Below are 22258 nucleotides of genomic sequence, written 5' to 3' on the forward strand. Positions count from 1 at the left end.
TTGACAGCCAGGCCTGCTGTCTCCATGGAGATGAGCCTGTCTCACCATGGCCTGCACACGGAGATGTGGCAGCCATTTAAATGGTGCTGGCAATCCTGATCTCTCCAAGAATGTATGCTTGAGAGTGGGTATGAGATAGGAGACAGAAATCTATTTTTTACCTAGTGGTTCTTTTGTTTTTGCATATTTTCAAAAATATGACATGTATTTTTTTATATAGCTTTTCCTGTCAATGCAAAGCAACTGCTTCATCTGATGCTCAACCCAAATGTTCAATGAAGTTTTTAATATTCTTCATGAATTGGAAACTTCTCTAAGCTTCCAGTCTATTATTACCTGCCCCTGCTCAGCTTCTTCGCAATAAGGCTTTAGTCCCACTACTCTCTTGAAGTTTACAATATTGAGTACTTAGAGTGGGTCAGGCCCTGTGTAGGGTACTGAACGTACAATCATTGGATTCTCAACAACCCTATGAAGAAAGTTCAAATCATTATCCCTCTAACTTACAGATGAGAATCACTGAGGGAGGTTACGTATTAGTATCCAAGGCCCACAGTTGGTAAGTGACTTAATAGAGGTTAACTATTACTTCTCAACAGTGAAGAGCATGCTGGCAGCTCAAACACAATGTGTCCAAAGCCTACACCAAAGTTCTCCAGAGCATCTCTTCTGCATAAAACAGTTATTTGAGTGGTGTATTAATCCATTCTCATGCTATTAATAAAGACATACCTGAGACTGGGTAATTTATAAAGGAAGGAGATTTAATGGACTCACAGTTCCACACAGCTAGGGAGCCTACACAATCATGGCAGAAGGTGAAGGAGGAGCAAAGGCACATCTTACATGGTGGCAGGCAAGAGAGAGTGTGCAGGGGATCTGCCCTTTATAAAATCATCAGATCTCTTGAGACTTATTCACTATCACGAGAACAGCACAGGAAAACTTGCCCCCATGATGCAATTACTTCCTACTGGGTCCTCCCACAGTACATGGGGATTATGGGAGCTATAGTTTGAGATGAGATTTGAGTGGGGACACAGCCAAACCATATAAAGTGGCATCATGAACTTCCCACAGACTCAGATAGAAACAATGGCATCCTTTGTGGCTTTACCTGTATTTACTTCGAGTACAAGTCTCCATTCTATTTTCACTTCAACAAACCTGCTAACCAGCCCCCTGCCTGATTCATATTAGATCATCAGGACATAGGAAAGTAGCTGGCACATAGTAGGGGTGCCCTAATTATCTATTGAACAGATGCAGCACCCTGACCTCTCCATTCTATGTGCTGCTGCCTGATTAATTCTCCCAAAGCACAGTTCTGAGTATGACTCCTTTGCTGAAACCCCTTTGGTGGTCTTCATTGTCCCACAGAATGAATCCTTTGCCTTTCCCTCTGGCATTTCTTGAACCTGCAGTCCATCTTGAACCTATCGTTTCAGCCTCCTCACTCACTCTACTGCTGCACAAACCCAGCCTCCACTCATAGCCATTTCTTTAAGAGCCTCCAAACTGCCCCTTCTTGGCCAAGCTACTCCTACCGCCTGGAATTTTTGCCCTGCCTACCCCATTTTCCCTAAGGAAGGGGCCCTAAAATCTTCAAATACTGCCTCCTTGAGTCAGCTTTCCCTGATCTCCCTCTGGAGACCTGTGACATGCTGATGTCCTCTTCTGTGTTTCAGTAGTTAAGGGCTCCAGCACTGGTGTCCAAGAGTCCTGGGTGCAAGTCCTGGGTCTGCCTTCTTGGCTTTATAACTTTAGTCAAGTCATTGAAGATATTTGGGAACAGAAAAATGAAGATAATTCTCATAGAATTACTTGGCAATTTAAGAGAGATAATGCTTTTGAAGGGCTTAGCACTGTGCTGGGTGCCTAATGAATTGCAACTTACTGATTTCTCCTATTACTATTATCATCAGGATATCTTGTCTTCTCTCTCCCATTAGACCAGTGGCTCTCAAATTTGACACCAGAATCCCGAGGGAGCTCTTAAAAATTAGAAGCTCAGGATGTATGCTTGGGGATTCTGATTTAATTGGTCTGGGACATGGCTCCTGCATTAGTATTATTTATTTATTTATTTTATTATGGCAAAATATAATGTTTATCATATTAATCCTTTGTAAGTATAAAATTCAGTGGCATTAAACACACTGTTGTGCAACCATCACCATTATCTATACCCAAGACTTTCTCATCATCCCCAGCAAAAACTCTGTACCCATTAGATAATAACTCTCTCTTCCTTCTCTACCCGCCCCTTGGTAACCTCTATTCTACTTTCTGTCTCTATGAATTTGTCTATTCTAGGCACAGAGTATAAGTGGAATCATACAATATCTGTCCTTCTATTTCTGGTTTATTTCACTAAGCATAATGATTTCAGGGTACAACCATGTTGCAGTATATATAAGAATTTCTTTATTTTTTATGGCTGAATAATATTCCATTGTATGTATATACCACATTTTGTTTATCCATTCATCTGTTGACAGACATTTGGATTGTTTCCCCTTTTGGTTATTGTGAATAATACTGCTATGAACGTTGGTGTATAAATATTTTCTCCAGTTTCTGCTTTCAATTCTTTTGGGTATATACCTAGGAGTAGGACTGCTGGGTTATATGGTAGTTCTGCATTTAACCTTTTGAGAAATGATCAAACTGTTCTCCACAGCAGCAACACCATTTTACATTCTTACTAATAATCCATGAGGGTTCCAATTGTTCCACATCCTCATCAACACTTGTTATATTCTACAGGTCATTTCTTTTAAATTGTAGCCATCCTAGCAGATGTGAAATGGTATTTCATTGTGGTTTTGATTTGCATTTCCCTAATGACTAATGATGTTTATCGATTTTCTGTGTGCTTATTGTCCATTTGTGTATCTTCTTTAAAGAAAAGTGTATTCAAATTCTTCACCCATTTTTAGGTTGTGTTTACAATCTTGTTGAGTTGTAGCAGTTTTTTTTTTTTTTTGTATATTCTGGATATTAATCCCTTATCAGATATATCATTTGCAAATATTTTCTCCCATGCAGTAGGTTATGTTATTGTTTCCTTGATGGAATCCTTCAGTGCATAAAAGTTCTTAATTTTGATGAAGTCCAATTTATCTGGTTTTTATTTATTTTGTTGCCTATGTTTTTGGTGTCATATTCATTAAGTCATCGCCAAATCCACTTCACTTTCTCCAGTGTTTTCCTCTAAAAGTATAGTTTTACCGATTAAGCTGAAGCCTTTGATTGTTTTGAGTTAATTTTTATGCCTTAAGTGGTGTAAGGGTCCAACTTCATTCTTCTGCATGGTGGATATCACTTCCCCAACATCATTTGTTGAAAAGACTATTTTTTTCTCATTAATTGGTCTAGGTACCCTTGTCAAAAATTAATTGACCATATATGTGATGGTTTATTTCTTGGCTATTTATTTTTATTTTTATTTTTTTTTTAGAAACAGGGTTTTGCTCTGTCATCCAGGCTAGAGTACAGCAGTGTGAGCATAGCTCACTGCATCTTCATCCTCCTCCACTCAAGTAATCCTCTTACTTCAGCCTCCTGAGTAGCTAGGACTACAAACATGCACCACCATGACTGGCTAATTTTTTTATTTTTATTTTTGTAGAGAGGAATCTTGCTAGGTTGCCCAGGCTGGTCTCAAACTCCTGGCCTCAAACAATCCTCCTGCCTTGGCCCCCCAAAGTGCTAAAATTACAGGTTTGAGCCACCACACCTGGCTTTGTCTCTCTATTATATTCCACTGGTCTATATGGTTGTCCTTATGTCAGTACCATATTGTTTTTATTATTGTACCTTTGTAATATGTTTCAAAGTTGGATAGTCTGAGACTTCCAACTTTATTCTTTTTCAAGATTAAGTAGTTTGAGACCCCTTGCAGTCTCATATAAATTTAAAGATTGGCTTTTCCATTTCTGCAAAAAAGGTTATTGGAATTTTGATAGGGATTGCACTGAATATACAGATTGCATTACAGCAATGTTACATCTTTCTACCCATGAACAAGGGATATCTTTTCATTTATTTAGATCTCTACCTTATTACAGCAATTTTTGTAGTTTTTGGTGTACAAGTCCTTTATCTTCTTGGTTAGATTTATTTCTAAGTATTTTTTTAGGTGTTAATGGAAATAAAATTGCTTTTCTAATTTTTTAAATTAGTATTTTTTAAAGCTCCCCAAGAGATGCTAATATGTAGTTAAGGTTGAAAACCACTGTCTTAGTCAAAACTTCCTAAGGTAGAGGAAAGCTTATGTCTTTCTAACCTTCCTATTTCCTTCAGTGTCCGGCAAGATCCCTAGCATGGAATCACTGCTTAGTAACTCTTCTGATGTATGTGTGTATAGCTTCCTGCTTACAAAATACATTTTTAAACTTATTTGCTTTCAAATATGCTGCACTTGCATCCTGATACTCCTGGCTTCCCCCCACCCCTACCTGCCTTTTCCACATCTTCCCAATCAATTCCCAGAGAGAGGGCCTGTTTACCATTGACTCCTTTGTGAGAATGGACTTTGTGGTGAACACTGACTACAGGGCATCTCTTACTGGGATGTGATTGGGGACCTCTCACCTCCTGAAGGAAATAACAATACCTGATTTCAACCACATAGCATTGACTGGAAAATGACCTCTAGGTACCAGTAGTGGCAGACAGACCAAAAAGATGTAGCCAGACAGATGGGCAGGTCTGCCAGGGTAGGAGTCTGTTTTTAATTGAGAAGACCAGCACAGACACCTCATGGAGTCCACATAAGCACCCCCTGTCATCACCTGATCATTCCTTCCTTCATATTTATTATACGTGCCCATTAGGACTGGTACCCAAGGGGCTTCCAGCCCCAGACATACACTCAAGGACAAGTAGCTTCCCACTCAGGGTTTCTGGTCAGGAATTCACAACAATGAGGGCTCCAAGTTCACCAGCGTCAGTTGGCAATGCTCTCTGAGAAACTGAACAGATGGGCTCTAATTGCAGACCTGTTGTGGGGACATTGTTAACAAACACACAAGTAGCAGTATACAGAGCTTTTTGGAAACGAATGTGACTTGGCAGCTGGGGATGGCGGTCTAATTACTAACATCTGAGTTTCTTGTTTAATGAAGGGGAATGTGGAAAACGGCCGTGCTTGAAGCAGCTGGGATAGAGAAAGATGCCAAGGCAATGACTGCACAGTGCCTGCACACTCTGTTGGTGGCCAGGTGCCTCCGTATCATCCACAGACCCCTCTTCTTCTCCCTCTGGAATCTAGACATCACTTTTGGGAGAGGGGATGGAATTTTTGGGGTCCTTAGTTATCAATTGTAGACCACAAAAGAACAGCATGATTGGGACACGTTGGTTCATCATATTCATTATTAAGTTCTTCTTCTTAAATAAAGTCAAATTCACACTCCAGAAAAATACCATGTTTAACCTGTGACTCCCTGTATCCCCTTACACAATGCTATTTAACCTTAAAATACACATATCTTGGTTTCACAGTTCATGGATTTCCAATAATGCTTGTTCAGACTTGTGTAGACTTGCTTTGTCCAAGTACTATTTTAAGCACTTTCCCTGACTAGCTCATTTAACTCTTTCCATAACACTAAGAGATGGATATTATTATTATTTCTGGTTTACAGATGAGGAAACTGAGGCATGGAAAGATTAGGTAACCTGTTGGTGAGATGTTGTCCTCAGGTTAGTTTTAGCCTCAGGATGACTTGTCTGATGTTAGTGATAATTGGCACTCAAAAAGGGGCTTCCTAAATTCCAGGCACATTGTTTTACAAACTTGATCTCTCTTATTTAAGCCTCACAGTAACTTTATGAGGTAGATCTTGTAGAAACTAAGGTTTAAAAGAGTAAATAGGGCCAGGCGTGGTGGCTCACGCCTGTAATCCCACCACTTTGGGAGGCTGAGGTGGGCGGATCACCTGAGGTCAGGAGTTCAAGACCAGCCTGGCTAGCATGGTGAAACCCCTTCTCTATTAAAAATACAAAAAATTAGCTGGGTGTGGTGGCAGATGCCTGTAATCCCAGCTACTCAGGAGCCTGATGCGGGAGAATCGCATGAACCTGGGAGGCAGAGGTTGCGGTGAACCGAGATCGTGCGACTGCACTCCAGCCTGGGCAACAAGAGCGAAAATTCGACTGAAAAAAAAAAGAGTAAGTAACTTGACCTGGTCAATTATAAAGCTAGTGATGTGCTGAGCTGAGATTTCAATTCAGGATGCTTGTTCTGAGCTTCAATGGGCTGCCACTCTGTGATAAAAGCTCTGCAGTGGAACATTATAGAAACTGCAAGGATTCTTTTTTTGTTTTTTAGCTCATTGACTATCTGATCACAGAGTCCATTTAGGAGGGTCCATGGAAGAAGCTGCTCTTGAGTTTTAAGTCCAGGGAAAAGCAAATCATCACTGGAGGAATCAAATTGTTTTTACTGTATGGACATTGTAAAATCTGTAAAAACCAACCTCTCTAACCAGGGTGCAGGTTCCCTAAGCGGAAATGCAGGTATGTGTGGAGATTCTAAGTTTTTACCTTTTAGAGTTGTTGCAAAACCACCAGGTAAGCAGTATCTTCACATCCTCCCAGTGTCACTAGTCCTTTAAAAAAGCCATTCAGGCTCTGTTTGTAGGCTCCCCAGGAGTGTGCACATACATTTGAGAAGCACATTTGTAAAGAATCATGCTTCTCACCTTCCCACCTTACCTCAGTTACTAGGCTGCTCTGGAAGCATGGGGAGCAGGCATTTAGGACCTTGTGGCACACATTTTGTGTACAACAGCCTTACACCAAGTTTCTCCTTATTTCCCATTTGATCTAGTTTCTGTCTTCCTTACTAATATTTGTGGCAAATTATATTTTCTAAAATTGACAACAACATTTCTGGTCCCACAGGCACCTTCAAAACCTTGCTACTCTCTTCCCCTTGAACTAAGGTGGGTGTTTGTAGCTACCTTGACAAGTACAGTATGGTGGAAGTGATGCCATGTTACTAGCAAGGCTAGGTTATAAGACATGATACAGATTGGTTCCAGTTCCAGATAAGATGGAGTAAGCACACTTTTCCTTATGTCTCCCACTAAATGTAGCTATCAAACTTGGACACAATACAGGGGGCAGCTATTTGAGGACTCTGAGAAGTAAGAGTAGCAGGCAGATTCAAGAAGAGCAAAATGTAAAATATCACTGAACTGAGGGTGAGTTTATTTTTTCCCCTGGTTCTTCCACCACTTTGCCCTGGATACTGTTATGGAAGTATATGGCAGATTAGGGTAACTGGAGTCCCAGCTTCTTGGATAGAGAACTGAAAAGGGACTCCACAGTGTACTGGAAAATACTAGGGAGATAGAGAAGAGAGACGAGTTCCAGAAAGCAACTCCATATAGTTGTTTGTGAATTCCTGGACTCACCTCCAAGCTGAATATGTGAGGATCTGATCCAAATTAATATACCAAAGATGTTGAGAGTTGTACTGACTTACAAACCACTGCCCAAGTGGCAGACTGGCCACTGGGTAATGTACATGAAGACCAGATTCAATATTATTGTGAAGTCTTTAAAAACTGAACTGGAATTAAAACCCTAGTTCACAAAAGACATGTTGGAACTTACAGCCTGAACAGAGACAGATCAATTGCCTGCTAAAACGAAAATGTCAACCTTCTCCACAGGACTTACATAAAACCTAGTGTTTCATAATGTAATATTCAAACCTGTCCATGATAGTATCCAAAATTACTTGGCATATAAAGGGCCAGGAAAATCTCAACTTGCATGAGAACAGACAATCAACAAATGCAAACACTGAAATAACAAAGATGTTGAAACGATCTGACAAAGTAGCAATAATACAAATGCTCCAATAAGTAATCATGAATGTTCTTGAAATAAATGAAAATATAACAAAGCTCAGCAAAAAAAAAATAAAATAAAAAGTCAAATAGAAATTTTAGAATTAAGAAATGTAATAACTGAAATAAAAAGCTCACTAGATGGGCTCAAAAGTTTAATGAGATTACCTGGGAAAGAGTCAGTGAGGATGAAAGACATGAACCTACAAATTCAAGATGCTCTCAATCTCTAACAGGTAAACCCCCCAAAATCATAATTAAACTGATGAAAACTAGATCAAAGAAAAAATCTTTAAATGAGACAGATTAAAATGATACATTACCTAGAGGGAACAAACAATTTGAATGGTTGCAAATTTCTTATCAGAAACCATGGAGGCCAGGGAAGAAATGAGGTGGCATTTTTAAAGTGCTAAAAGAAAAGAAATACCAACCCAGAATTCTATAATGAGTAAATATATTCTTCACAAATAAGGAGGACATAAATAGATTTTTAGATGAAGGAAAAGTAGAAGAATTTATTGCCAGCAGTCCTGCTCTAAAATAATTATTAAAGAAAATGATAGCAGAAGGAAATCTGGAACATGAAAAATGAAGAACAACATAAATGGTAAATATCTGGGCTAACATAATAGACTACTATTCTCCTCTTAAGTTCTTTAAAATATGTTTAATGATTGAAAGCAAAAATCATAACATTGTCTGGTGGAGTTTTCAATGCATATAGATATGTCATATAAAACAATGATAACATAAAGGAAGGTAGGTAAAAGGACCTATAAAGTGATAAGGTTTCTTGCTACTTTCCACCTGAAGTGCCAAACTATAGATTCTATGTAGACTGTAAAAGTTAAGTATGAATATTATAATCTCTGTAGCAACAAATAAAGAGATACAGCAAAAAAAAAAAATAGAAAAAATGAGATACTAAATATACTTAAACAATGCAAAAGAGGGCAGAAAAAGTGAAAACAAAAGGGAAAAAATCCCAAATAGCAAACACAAAAAACAAATAATAAAATGTTACACCTAAATTCAAACATCAATAATTACATTAAGTGCACATGGTCTAAAGTCAACAATTACCCATTTATGTCTAGTGTTCCATTATTGGAACCATAAGCATGTGGGAGTTATTTATATCCTACTGCTCAAGGCCATCATGAAGGTCGGATTTTTCAAATTCAAAAAATTACAACCTCATGCATAAATGGGTTAAAAAAGAGAATGTCGGAATGGATAAAAAGGTATGACCCAAGTACATGCTGTCTACAAGAAACTCACTTCAAAGATAATCATATAGGAAAGTTAAAAGTAAAAAGGTAGAACAGAATCTGTCATGCAAACATGAATGAAAAGAAAGCTGAAATGGCTATATTAATATCAGCAAAGTATACTCCAGAGATATAAAAATTACTAGAAATAAAGAGAGATATTAGGTAATGATCAAAGGATCCATCACTAAGTAGATATAATGATCCTAAGTGTATATGTATGAGACAACACAGCTTCAGAATACATGAAACAAAAACTATTAGAACTGAAAGAAGAAAAAGACAAATCCACAATTACAGTTGAAATTTTAACACTAATCTCTCGGGAATATCTCGGGAATATACAGTAGACAGCAAAACATAAAGGATATAGGTGAACTAAAGAACATCATCAATCACCTGGATCTAAATTTATAGATTATTCTACCCACCAATAACAGAATGTATATTGTTACAAGTTCACATGAAACATTTATCAAGATAAACTGTATTTTTGCTCATAAAACAAGTCTTACCAAATACAAAATAAATTAAAATATAAAATATGTTCTCAGACCGTAGTAAAATTAAACTAGAAATTAGTAATAGAAAGACAATAGGAAAATACCTAAACAATCTGTAATTAAACAATAAAGTCCTAAGTAATCCATGAGTCAAAAAAAAGTCTCAAGGGAAATTAGAAAATATTTTAAACTGAGCAGAAGTGAAAAGACATTAATCAAAATTTGTAGGATGCAGAAAAAGCTGTGTTTAGGGATAAATTTATTTCATTAAATGATTATATTAGAAAAGAAGAAAGATCTTAAATCAAGAATCTAAGATTGTATTTTAAGAAACTAGAAAAAAAGAACAAAACAAAAACAAGCAGAAAAAGAAAATAATAAAGAACAGGAATCAATGAAACAGAAAACAGAAAAATGATAGAGAAAATCAATGAAACCAAAAGCTGATCCTTTGGAAATATCAAAAATTGTTAAACTAGGCTAGGCAGAGTGGCTTACCCCTGTAATCCCAATACTTTGGAAGGTCAAGGGAGGAGTATCACTTAAGCCTAGAAGTTTGTGACCAGCCTGGGCAACATAGCGAGATTTTGGATTCTGTCTGTATAAAAAATAAAAATAAAAAAACCATCCTGGTGTTGTGGTGTGCACCTGTAGACCTAGCTACTCAAGAGGCTGAGGCTGGAGGATTGCTTGAGTCCAAGAGTTCAAGGTTACAGTGAGCACTTTAGCCTGGGCCTAAGATCTTGTCTTTAAAATAAAAAAAAATTGTTAAATCAAGACCGACAAAAATAGAGTACACAAGTTATCACTATAAGAAATGAAAAAGAAGATACCACTGAAGCTCCCATAGATATTAAATTAATATATGAAATACTATAAATAAATCTATACACATAAATTAAGCAACTTAAGTAAATATGGACTAATTCCTTGTAAACCACAAACTACCAAAAATCACACAAAATAGTACTATATAACTGAGTAGGTATATAACCTTGAAAGAAATAAAATTCATAGCTAAAAACTTTTCGGGAAAAAAATCTCCAGACCCAGAGAGTTTCACTGATAATTTTTACAAAATATTTAAAGAAGGTGTAACACTAATTATTCACAATTTCTTTCAAAATATAAAAGAACATTTCTTAACTAAATGTGGAAACCAGCATCACCTTGAATTACCCTGATAGAAAAAGCAGATGGATTACAAGAAAACTATGGACCAGTATCCCTCATGAACAAAAACAAAGATTCTTAACTCATCAGTATGTATATGTTAAAAGAATAGTATGCCATAACTAAGTGGGTTTTATTCAATGTATTTCACCATATTAACAGGCTAAAGAAGAAAAACCACATTATATCAATTGAAGTAGAAAAATCATTTGACAAAATTTAACATATATTTATGATGAAAGCTTTTGACAAACTAGGAAGAGAAAGACACTTTCTTAATCAGATAAAGGGCTTCTATAGAAAACCTACATCTAGCATAATATTTAATGGAGAAAAACTAAATGTCCCCTACCCCAAGATGGGGAACAAAGCAAGATGTCCACTCTAACTATTCCTATTCAACATCATACTGAAAGTCTTAGCTGATGGAATAAGGCAAGAAAAAGAAATGAAAATCATAGACAGGGAATACAGACATAAAGCAATCTCTGTTTTCAAGCTATATAATTTTCTGCATAGAAAGCACCCCCACACCCACAAAATCTACAAAATCTCCTAGAACTAATGTAAATTTAGCAAGGTTATAGGATATGAGGTCAACACAAAAATAATTGTATTTTGATATTCAATTATCAGACCTAACAACAGACAATTGCAAACTCAATTTTTTAAAAAATGTATAATATACTTTCTCTCTTCCACTCACAGATGCAATACTTAAGTATAAACCCCACAAATCATGTATAGGTTCCATATGCTGAAACCTACAAAATGCTGCTGAAGTAAATAAAAAAGAATTGTAAGAATTAGAAGATTCCACATGGGAAAGATGCCATTTCTTCCTAAACTTATCTTTAGAGATAAAATGATTCCAACCAAAATCCTATCAAAATTTTTATTAATATAGACAAGCTGATTCTAAAATGTATACAGAAAGCAAAAAAGAAAAACCCCTAGAATAGCTAAAACACTTTTCAAATAAAAAAATGGTATTCAAGCAATCAGGCTACTTGATTTTAAGTCTTGCTATAAACTTTCTATAGTCAAGACAGTCTGATATAGGCAATAGGATAAACACACAGATTAACAGAACACAACAGAAAGTTCAGAAATACACTCACACAAATATGGGTCTGTTAATTTTTTTTATACATGTGAAAAAGTATTTTAATGGAAAAAGAACAGTTTTTCAACAATGGTGTTAGTACAATTGAACATCCATATGTGCAAAATGAACTTTTACCTAATCCTCACACCTTATTAAAAAAATTAACTCAAAATGGATCATAGACCTAAAACGTAAAGCATAAAACCACAAAACTTTTAAGAGGAAATTTTTGTAATGTGCAACAAGGCAAAGAATTTTTAGACAGGACACCAAAAACATAATTCATAAAAGAAAAAAATTGATAAATGGAACTTCAAAATTAAAAACTTTCGATTTGCAAAAAGCACTGCCAAGAGAATAAAAAGACAACCTACAGACTGGGAGAAAATACCCACAAGTCATATACCTAACAAAGGACTTGTAGTCAGAATATACAGACAACTCTTAAAACTCCGCAGTAAGAAAACATGTAATGCAATTAGTAAATGCGTAAAAGACGTGAACACACATTTCACCAAAGAGATATACAGATGGCAAATAAGAACATAAAAAGATGCTCATTACTAGCTACTAGGGGAATGCAAATTAAAATCATGATGAAATACTCCTATGTTACTATTAAGTGGTTAAAATAAAAAATATTGACAAAACCAAGTGCTGACAAGGATGTGGGGTAACTGAATCACTGATCCATTGCTAGTGAAAATGCAAAATGTTCCAGACACTCTGTAAAACATATTGGCAGATTCTTCTAAAGTTAAACATACACGTTTTCTATTTTTGTATATTTACCACAGGGAAATTAAAACTTACCTTCGCATTAAAACCTGTACACAAATGTTGAAAGCACTTCTACGCATAATTGCCAAAAGCTGAAAACAATGCAAATTTCCTTCAGTGGGTAAATGCATAAACCAACTGTGGTTTAGCCATACAATGGAATAGTACTCAACAAAATCAAGGGATGGACTATTGACACACACAGCAACTTGGATGAACTTCAAAGGCATCATGCTGAGTGAAAGAAGCCAGCCTTGTAAGTTCACATGGTGTGTGATTTATTAATATAACATTCTCAAGGGGACAAAGCTGTGGTGATAGAAAACAAACCAGCGGACACTGGGGGTTATGAGTGGAGGAGGGTGTGACTATCAGGAGGTAGCAGGAGGAAGTTTTTGGGGTGAGGAAACTGTTCTGTGTCCTGATTGTGGTGATGCTTACATGAATCTATACCTGTGTTAAATTTCATAAAATGTACACTAAAAAGATCAGTTTTACTGTATGATTTTTTTTTAAAAAAAGAATATTCTGATTTTTTTTCTGCTGCAGCTTCTAACTGTCCATCTTTCTTTGGATGTGCCCCTTTGGTGCCATGAACTCCCAGATGAGAACCTCCTAGTCTTAAGCCACCTTGCTGGAGAGACTACCTGTAGAGGCTACTTACAGAGAGATACCGACTTAGAGAGGCCACTTAGAGAGAGGCTTCCCAGCTGTTCCAGTTCCCATGTGGTCCAGGGTTCCCAGCTCAAGGCTGGCCACGGGAGTGAGCCAGCCTTCAGATGATTCCAGCCTCCAATGTCTCTCTGCAACTGCATGAGATACCCTGCGTGAGGACCACCTGGCGGAGTCTCATCAACCCTTGGTACTGATAATAAAATGATCACTGACGTTTTAAGGCCTAGGGTGGTGTGTTATACATCATAGATAACTAGAAAATTACTATTATTTTTAAAATTATTGTAAGAGAGATGGGTGCTAAGCAGCCACAAATTAATTTGAACTAGTGTATCAGTTATTTACTACAATATGTCACATAACAAACACACACAAAACCCAGTGGGTTAAACTTGAAAACGTTTATTTAGCTTGTGGGTCTGCTGTTTGGATGGGTGGTTCTTCTGGGTTGGGCTGGGCTGGACTCACTCAGGTGTCTGTGGTCAGCATTCAAGTCACGTGAGCGTCCGTTTCATGGATCTTGGCTGTGTTCCTCACCTTTTGGAGGTTGGCTGGCTATTGGCCCACTTAGGACGACTTCTCCTCTGCTTCTTGGGGGCAGTGGGCTAGCCTAGGCTGGTTCACTGCTGGTGGCATTGGCAGGGTCTGAGAACAGATGCATGTCAAGCTTTGTGAGGCCTAGGCTGGGAGTTGGCACCCTCATTTCTGCCGCAGTCTATTGGCCAAAGCCAGTTACAAATTTAGCCCAGGTTTACAGCGTTGAAGTCCTAACCCCCTAGTACCTCAGAATGTGACTGTCTTTGGGGAAAGTCTCTTTAAAGAGGTGATTAATGTAAAATGAGGTCATTAGGGTGGACCCTAATCCAATCCGACTGGTGTCCTTAGAAGAAGAGGAAATTAGGACACAGACTGGTACAGAAGGAAGAACACGTGAAGACACAGGGAAAAGACAGCCATCTACGATCCAAAGACAGAGGCCTCAGAAAAAAACTCATCCCACCAACGCCTTGATCTTCCGGCCTCCAAGAACTGCTAGACTCCAGGACTTCCAGCCTCCAGAACTGCAAGAAAAGAACTCAGCCTGTGGAACTTTGTTATGGCAGCCTGAGAAAATTAACACCCATTCGGATGAGGGAACAGACTCTACCTCTTTATGTAAAAAAACTGCAGTCCCATTGTGAACCATATGTGTTCAAGGAGGTGTAAAACATTGGGGCGATTTTTTTTTGCCATCAATTTGCCCTGCCTATAGAGGCTGGTGTGGGGAGGAGCTAACTCATGGGGCAGGGATAGGAATGGGTTGGAAATCAAGAAGCTTGGCTGGACTCCTAACTCTGCCTTCTCTGGGCCTCAGTTTCCTCATCTGTGCCATAAGAGTTCTCGACCAGGTCTTGCTGTGTTTCCTCCCAGCTCTGAGAGCCTAGGATCAAACCCCAAGCCAAGCTCTTCCCCACCTCTCCGACAACGTCTAATTCCAGAGTGAGTCAGGAGAAGCGCTTCCCTGCTTGGCCCTGGACACATCCTAGGACTTCAGCCCGCAGCCTCACCAATAACTGCTACCCATTTGAGGACAGAGGCCCCCTGCTAGGTCAGGTTTATCTAACAGTGCCTGGCAGAGACAGAACAGCTCTGCACAAAAGCTCTGCTAAAGAGAAAAGGCAGCAACTGTATCCTTCGTGTAGTCTCACGGACGACCCCTCGAGAGGGCCAGTTAATGAGCATGGATTTGGGGGAGTTTTGCCTGAGACCTGTAGAGAATTGGCTGACAGTAAAGATAAAAAGGGAAAACGTAGATAGGTAAAAATTAATGAAATCCCAGCAAAAAAAAAAGCTATGAAAGGGGGAGGAAACTGCTATGACGGGGGGCTACCTGGTAAATCTGGAAGCACATTAACCAGGTGGCCTGAATCGGCCAGGCCGCAGGCTGTGAGGACTCCCTCCACCAACATGGCGGGACCTATGATCCTGTGATACTGTTGATGCAGGAGACAAAGGGGCCACAACTTTTCGAAAGAGGTATGAATCAATGTCACAGCTACCTGGAAATAAATAAGTAAGATATCCTCCCATAATAATAATAATAATAATAATAATAATAATAATAATAATAATGGGAAGCTTTATTTATTTATAATTATTTATTTAATAAATAAATTGGGGATTTATTGAATAATCATTAGGATTTATTTATACATTTATAGAATTCTTTATAATATATATTTATAATTATAACATTTTGATAATTATGTAAATTATATAATTGTTTCTAATATTTATATAATTATATTTTTATAATTATTTATATTTATGTAATTTAAATAATTATATCTCTATAATTTAAATAATTATAATATCTATATAATTTAATTATTTATATTTATATAATTTAAATAGTTATTTATATTCATATAATTTAAATAATTATATGTATTTGTGGATTTATTAATTTATTATTATTATTTGGGGTTTTAACATTTGCCAGACACTGATCTACCTATTTTAAGATTGTCAACTCACTGAATCCTCACAAAAGTCTTATGAGGTAAATACTGAAGTACCATTAGCACTATTTTTACAGGCAAGGCAAGAGAAGCACAGGAAGATTGTGTCTCAAGCCAATGAGTAATAGAACTGGACTTCAACACGGGCAGGCTATGTCAAAAGCCCAGGACTTTAGCTACTTTTGCCATAAGGAATCTCCATATTTTCTGGAGCCTGTTAGGTGAGTGAAGGAAAAAGGACTCATTTTACAAATGGAAATATTGAGGCCCAGAAGGGGGCCTCCATGAATTGGATTTGCAAGTGTCTGCAATCCACTCACAGTGCTATATTCTATTCCATTTGAGTGCCTCATCCTCTCTGTTCACCTGGTGAACTCCTACTAATCTCTAAAATTCCACTCAGATGTCACCCGAGAATCTTCCATGCTCACCTCAGGAAAATCAGGTTCTTCCTTCTTTGGCTTCCACAAAACCCAGCATATATCCTTAATAGAATGTTTTTCATATGCAATATTTTCTCTTTTATTTCCAGAATTTTTTAAAAGAGAAAACCACATAATGATCGCCAATATCCATGTTCCCAAGCACTAGAATTTATGTTTGTTAACATTTTGCTATATAGACTACAAGTCATTTTCTAAGCAAAAAAACAAAATGTAACAAATGAAATTGAGATATTCTTTTTTACCAATACAAGAAATAAAACATTGAAGTTGAGGTATCATATCTGCAGTTCACTTCCCCCTGCCACTGTCAGGAATTTGTTGTGCATTCTTCTGCTATATTTTAAAATTCATATCTATCTATTCACAAATGTGTGTTTGTGTGTGTGTGTACATGTGTAAGGCAAGGACTGCATTTTATTCATCTCTCTGGAGCTCAAATGTAGCAAAACACCTGGCACTTAGGTAATAATGATGATGAAGAAGATGATGGTATCGATATAGTTTGGATATTTGTTTCCACTCAAATCTCATGTTACAATGTAATCCCTAATGTTGGAGGTGGGGCCTAGTGGGAGGTTTTGAATCATGGGGGTAGATGTCTCATGAATGGCTTGGGCCATCTCCTGCGTGATAAATGAGCTCCTGCTCTGAGATGTGGTGGTTGAAAAGTGTGTGGCATCCCCCCTTCTTGCTCCTGCTTCCACCATGTGACTTGCCTGCTCCTTCTTTGCTGTCTGCCATGATTGTAAGTTTCCTTAGGCCTCCCCGGAAGCTAGACAGATGCCAGCACCATGCTTCCTGTAAACCCTGCAGAACTTTGAGTCAATTAAACCTCTTTTCTTTATAAATTACCCAGTCTCAGGTATTTCTTTATAGCAATGCAAGAATGACCTAATACGATGATGATGGCTAACATTTTCTAAACCTTTATCATGTTGCAGAGCCAGTTCAAAGCTATTTTGTGTGAACTAACTAACAGTTTTCTCAATGATTGTATGGGGAAGATGCTATTTTCAAGCCCAGTTTATAAATTTAAGAAAACTGAGGCAAAGAGAAGTTAAAATAGGAAATATGAAAAAATTATTTAAACCAAGGCAGTCCGGCCCCAAAGCCTCCTGTGCCCGTGCACATGTATGTGAAATATAACCTACATCCAGAAAAGAACATAAAGCATAGATGTACAATTGGACAAAAACTTGATAACCACCACTGAAGACAAAAAAAATAGGGCATTGCAAATACCCCAGGGACCCTCTGTTCTTCCTTCTTGATTATAATCCTCTCCTTGTACCACCCACAGGTTCTTTTTTTTTTTTTTTTTTTTTTTTTTTTTTGAGACAGAGTCTTGCTCTGTTGCCCAGGCTGGAGTGCTGTGGTGCGATCTCCGCTCACTGCAAGCTCCGCCTCCCAGGTTCACGCCATTCTCCTGCCTCGGCCTCCCAAGTAGCTGGGACTACAGGTGCCCGCCACCACACCCAGCTAATTTTTTGTATTTTTAGTAGAGACGGGGTTTCACTGTGTTAGCCAGGATGGTCTCGATCTCCTGACCTCGTGATCCACCTGCCTCGGCCTCCCAAAGTGCTGGGATTACAGGCATAAGCCACCGTGCCCCACCACCACCCCACAGATTCTTAAACAATAAAATTTGCTTTCTTTGATTTTGAGCTGTATGCATGAAATCATTTAGCACATATTATTTTGTGCCTTGCTGCTTTGGCTTAATGTTGGATTGTGATATGTTGTTGCATATTTAGTTTGCCGTTGAGTGATATACCTTAATTTATTTACCCATTCTTCAGGCCATTTAGTTTGTTTCCAAATGGGGGCAATTATAAAAAAGATGTTGCCATGAACCTTCTTGCATATGTCTCCTAGTGTATGTTGCAGATGTTTTTCTAAGATTCACACCTAGAAGAATTGCCAGGGCAGAAGGTATGTGTAACTCCACTTGGAATGGATAACATTAAATTGCTTTCTAAGAGCTGGAACTCTTAACCACACTCTCAAATGACCTTACCAAAAGTATGTGTTGGAGGAATAAATGGATATTTTAAAAAGTGAAATACCAAATACAAGGAGGGGACTGCATTAACTAGTATCAGAGGCTGGGAATCCAAGCATCTGTCTACTGAAATATGCATCTCCTGGTGGCACACATAGGCTCTGAACCTGGAAATAGCTGAAATCAGCTGCCCTGGAGGATCGTAAGGAACACATCCCGCCCGTCCAGTGCTCTGCCTGGATGGCACCTGCTGACAAAGCAGAGGGATAGATGTGAGCAGTGATTTGGACTTTATCTCCTGACTAGTTAGTTATATCCTGCCCATATCAGCACTGAGGAACGGTCACCGGGAGGCGGCATAGAACTCTCTACGCAGCCAGAGCTGTACTGGGTGGTCCTGCCTCAGTTTCCTTTTTGCTTTTCTGGGACCTTAGGGAACCTGGAATAGTTGCTGTTATCACTATTTTTACAGACAAGGCAAGAGAAGCATGGGGAGATTAAGTCTCCCTGTCAGATCCAGTGTCCTCTTGGGGACTGCTCCGGTACACACCCCTTCCACCTTTATCCACAATATCCTCGAGTGGACATCACTGGGGTTCCTCTGAATGACTGAGTTGCCTCTTCATTATTCCGCCCAAGATGTCAGCTAAGGCTGTTTACAAATCCAAGGATTCTCTTGCCAAATATACAGTCTGTTCTCCAAGCTTTCATGTTATAACGAAATGAGTAACAAGCAAGACATCTTAATATCCTATTCTGCTAGAAAGTGAGATATTTCCCCTCCCTCGTTCTTAACAGATAAATTAATATCATCAAACATTCTGAAAAGATCTTTTATGAAAACATCTCACTTGCCAAAAAAGAAAAGTTGTATTATAAAACTGGAGAAATTTGTTTCAACTTGTTAAAAGCCCTATTCTCAGCCATGAATTCGGTTCCCGTTTTTTTTCCCCCTTCAATTAATTTCACACTAATCCATTTCTTTATCAGGCGTTGGAGTGAATGCATGTGGATCGAGTGATGAGGATGAGGGGGCAATGGAGGTGTTTGGCTCTGTAATTTCATCCTTGAATTTTGTGATTACTAACAGGACAACTTTTTTAATTTGCTCTTTTGTCTGGATTCCCTGGCTGACAATCTGCTCGGTGAGCTCGGCTTTTTAATCAATCACCTACATAATCAAATGTCACTGGCTATCTGCTCCGTGTAATTACTTTTGCAATTAAAAATCAACCTCAAGTTGCCTCATCTAATTAGAGGGATGGGCAGATTTTCATCTAGATTGATTTTTTAATAAATATTGACTTAAAATGCCATAATCTCATCATATTCTTTCATTTTCTTTGTACCAAAAATCAAACAAATGGAAGAATTAGCAAGCAGAAGGAATCGAGGGACTTCAAAAGCTTCTGCTGGTTCAGACACACAAAACTATGCTGTACAGAAGCCCAGCTTAGCTTGCCTAATAACAACACTCAATAGCTTCCACCTTTTATTGGAAAAAAGAACAAAGCAATTCAATGATTATATTTCACACCAACATTGTTGCAAGCCCACCATTCTAAGAGCTCCTAATTTCATTTATTGTACTGCCAAAGACAATCATTTCTATGAATGATATTATTTCCTTTAAAACAATCCCACACATGCTACTAGAATTTTTTAGCATTATGAGAAAACATATAATGCTTAATGCTGGAACCGCAACCACTGAGTTTTCTTAAACATATGAATGCCACTACAGCCAGATAACTTCCTTGTCTTTGCTGCCGTGTGTCTTTTATGTATTGTAATTAAAACATTGTCAATAACACAGTTCGTTGCTTTTTGGTTGTAGTGACTGATGTTGAACATGGAAAATCCACAATCTGGTAAGGGATTACCTACAGGAAAATAACACACTTTGCTTAGAGAACAATTGTCCCAAGATGAAATGTAATGGTATCTTGTATGTCTGTTTATTTTTTTTTAATCAAAAAAACCTGTCAGTGACCCTGACAAAATTCTATTTAAACCTCAGCAGATTGGGGTGATGATGAAGAGGTAATAATATTTCTAGCACCCCTGCTTTATTCTGGCACAAAGAAGATAAGTCTGTCTTCTTGTGCATTCACGGTACAAGGGAGAAATAGGGAATTGTCCACATCTGACTGCACAGTTCACTCTAAGAATAGAAAAAAAGGGTTGACCAAGGAAAGCCAAACCTTTAGGTCTTATTGGTGGCAAAACAAACAGGGGAGTAAGGACTGACTCAAACAAAAGAGCCAAGGACAATAAGAAAGAGAGCAATGATTCCACCCCTGCTGCCCTCCATGAGGCAGAGAAGTTCTCTGCTAGGGGGATACTTCATCTGCAGTTTCAGCCTTACTACCAACTTGGTGTCCAAATTGTTTTTCCCAAAACGATATGCCATGACCTACTAGTCATATAAAACACTGCTCCAAAGATAAAGTCTTTGTGGTCAAAGTACTTTCAAAAATGTAACATTCTCTACCTCCTTGCTGGAGAGAAATGATACACATTATCCTAGCAAGTTTTGGAAAAGCCCTGCCACAACAAAGTCTGTTTGGCCCAGAATTTATCAAATGTATTTGTCCATAGATTATCCTATTTATTGATTTATTTGTTTGTTTACTGATTTATTTGGGGGTACCAAGTAGAACCATTCTCTTAGTACACACTTGGGGAAACACTGGTAGTCACACTACACAGAGATCTCATTTTTCTGCACTATTGGCCCCTCTGGGGGACAAACCTTGTCTTCTGGAATGTGTCGTTGATTATGCTTTCTAGGTGTAAAGTCCTGTCTAGTATGTCTGAGTATGCTTATGTGGGTTGCCTATGACCTACAGCAGTGGTCCCCAACCTTTTTGGCACAAAGGACTGGTTTTATGGAAGACAATTTTTCCATGGACTGGGGTGGGCAGAAGGCAGGGAATGACGGCTTCAGGATGAAACTATTCCACCTCAGATCATCAGGCATTAGATTCTCATAAGGAGCATGCAACCTAGATCCCTTGCATGTGGAGTTCCCAATAGGGTTTGGACTCCTATGAGAATCTGATGCAGCTGCTGATCAGACAGGTGGTGGAGCTCACGTGGTAATCCTCACTCACCTGCTGTTCACCTCCTGCTGTGCGGCCCAGTTCCTAACAGACCACAGACCAGTAGTGGTTCACAGCCTGGGGACAGGGGACCCCTGACCTACAGGATATGAGGATGGCAGTGGGGATTCTGGGCTTGTAGTAACTAGGTGTTGTCTATGGTTCTTGCCAGAGGGAAATTCTGCAAGTATCTGCTCTGTCATCATAGAGCATAATGCAGGTTGAAAGAGTTTCATGGGTACTCCCTGCTGTGTGGAAGAGGGACAAAACTCTACCAAGAGTTTGAGGAATGAATAGAAAGAGGAAAGGAGAAGGGATGACAGTGATACTAGTTGACATTTCTTGAACATTTACTATGTGGCAGGCACTGTGCTGAATGTTCTACCTGCCTTTTTCTTTTAACCATCGTAATTGTGCTAGGGAGCAGGTACTGTTTGCAGTTTGCAGTATTATCATCATCCCCATTAAACAGATGAGAAAACTGAGGCTTCAAGCAGTGAAGTGATTATGAAAGGTCACACAGTTGGGAATTAGGAGAGTTAAGTCCCACACCCATGTCTGAAAGACAACAAACACTTTGAGTTTTGAACCATTTCTTCTAAGAATAAGATGACACAAGAGGTAGGAGCTGCTGACATGGGGGAGAGGGATTGTGCTGTTGTGGAAGAAATAAGCATTGGGGGCAGGTATATGACTTGTCTCTTGTCACAATAATTCTATGTTATGACCCACTCCAAAACTCAGTGGCTTAAGCAATAAGCATGTCTTTAGCTCCTGAATCTGCAGTTTGACTATGGGATTCTGGTCGTGGCTGGCCTAAC

At 38.5% G+C, this 22258-nt stretch overlaps 1 annotated feature.

Annotated features, from left to right (window-relative positions):
- Window positions 18883-20167: an enhancer, noted in NCBI's record as "VISTA enhancer hs37". NCBI's record gives its function as "enhancer in: forebrain[5/5]" and the evidence as "EXISTENCE:transgenic organism evidence [ECO:0001131][PMID:17130149]".

This window comes from Homo sapiens, chromosome 16 (genome assembly GCF_000001405.40).
Source record: "Homo sapiens chromosome 16, GRCh38.p14 Primary Assembly".
NCBI lineage: Eukaryota > Metazoa > Chordata > Mammalia > Primates > Hominidae > Homo > Homo sapiens.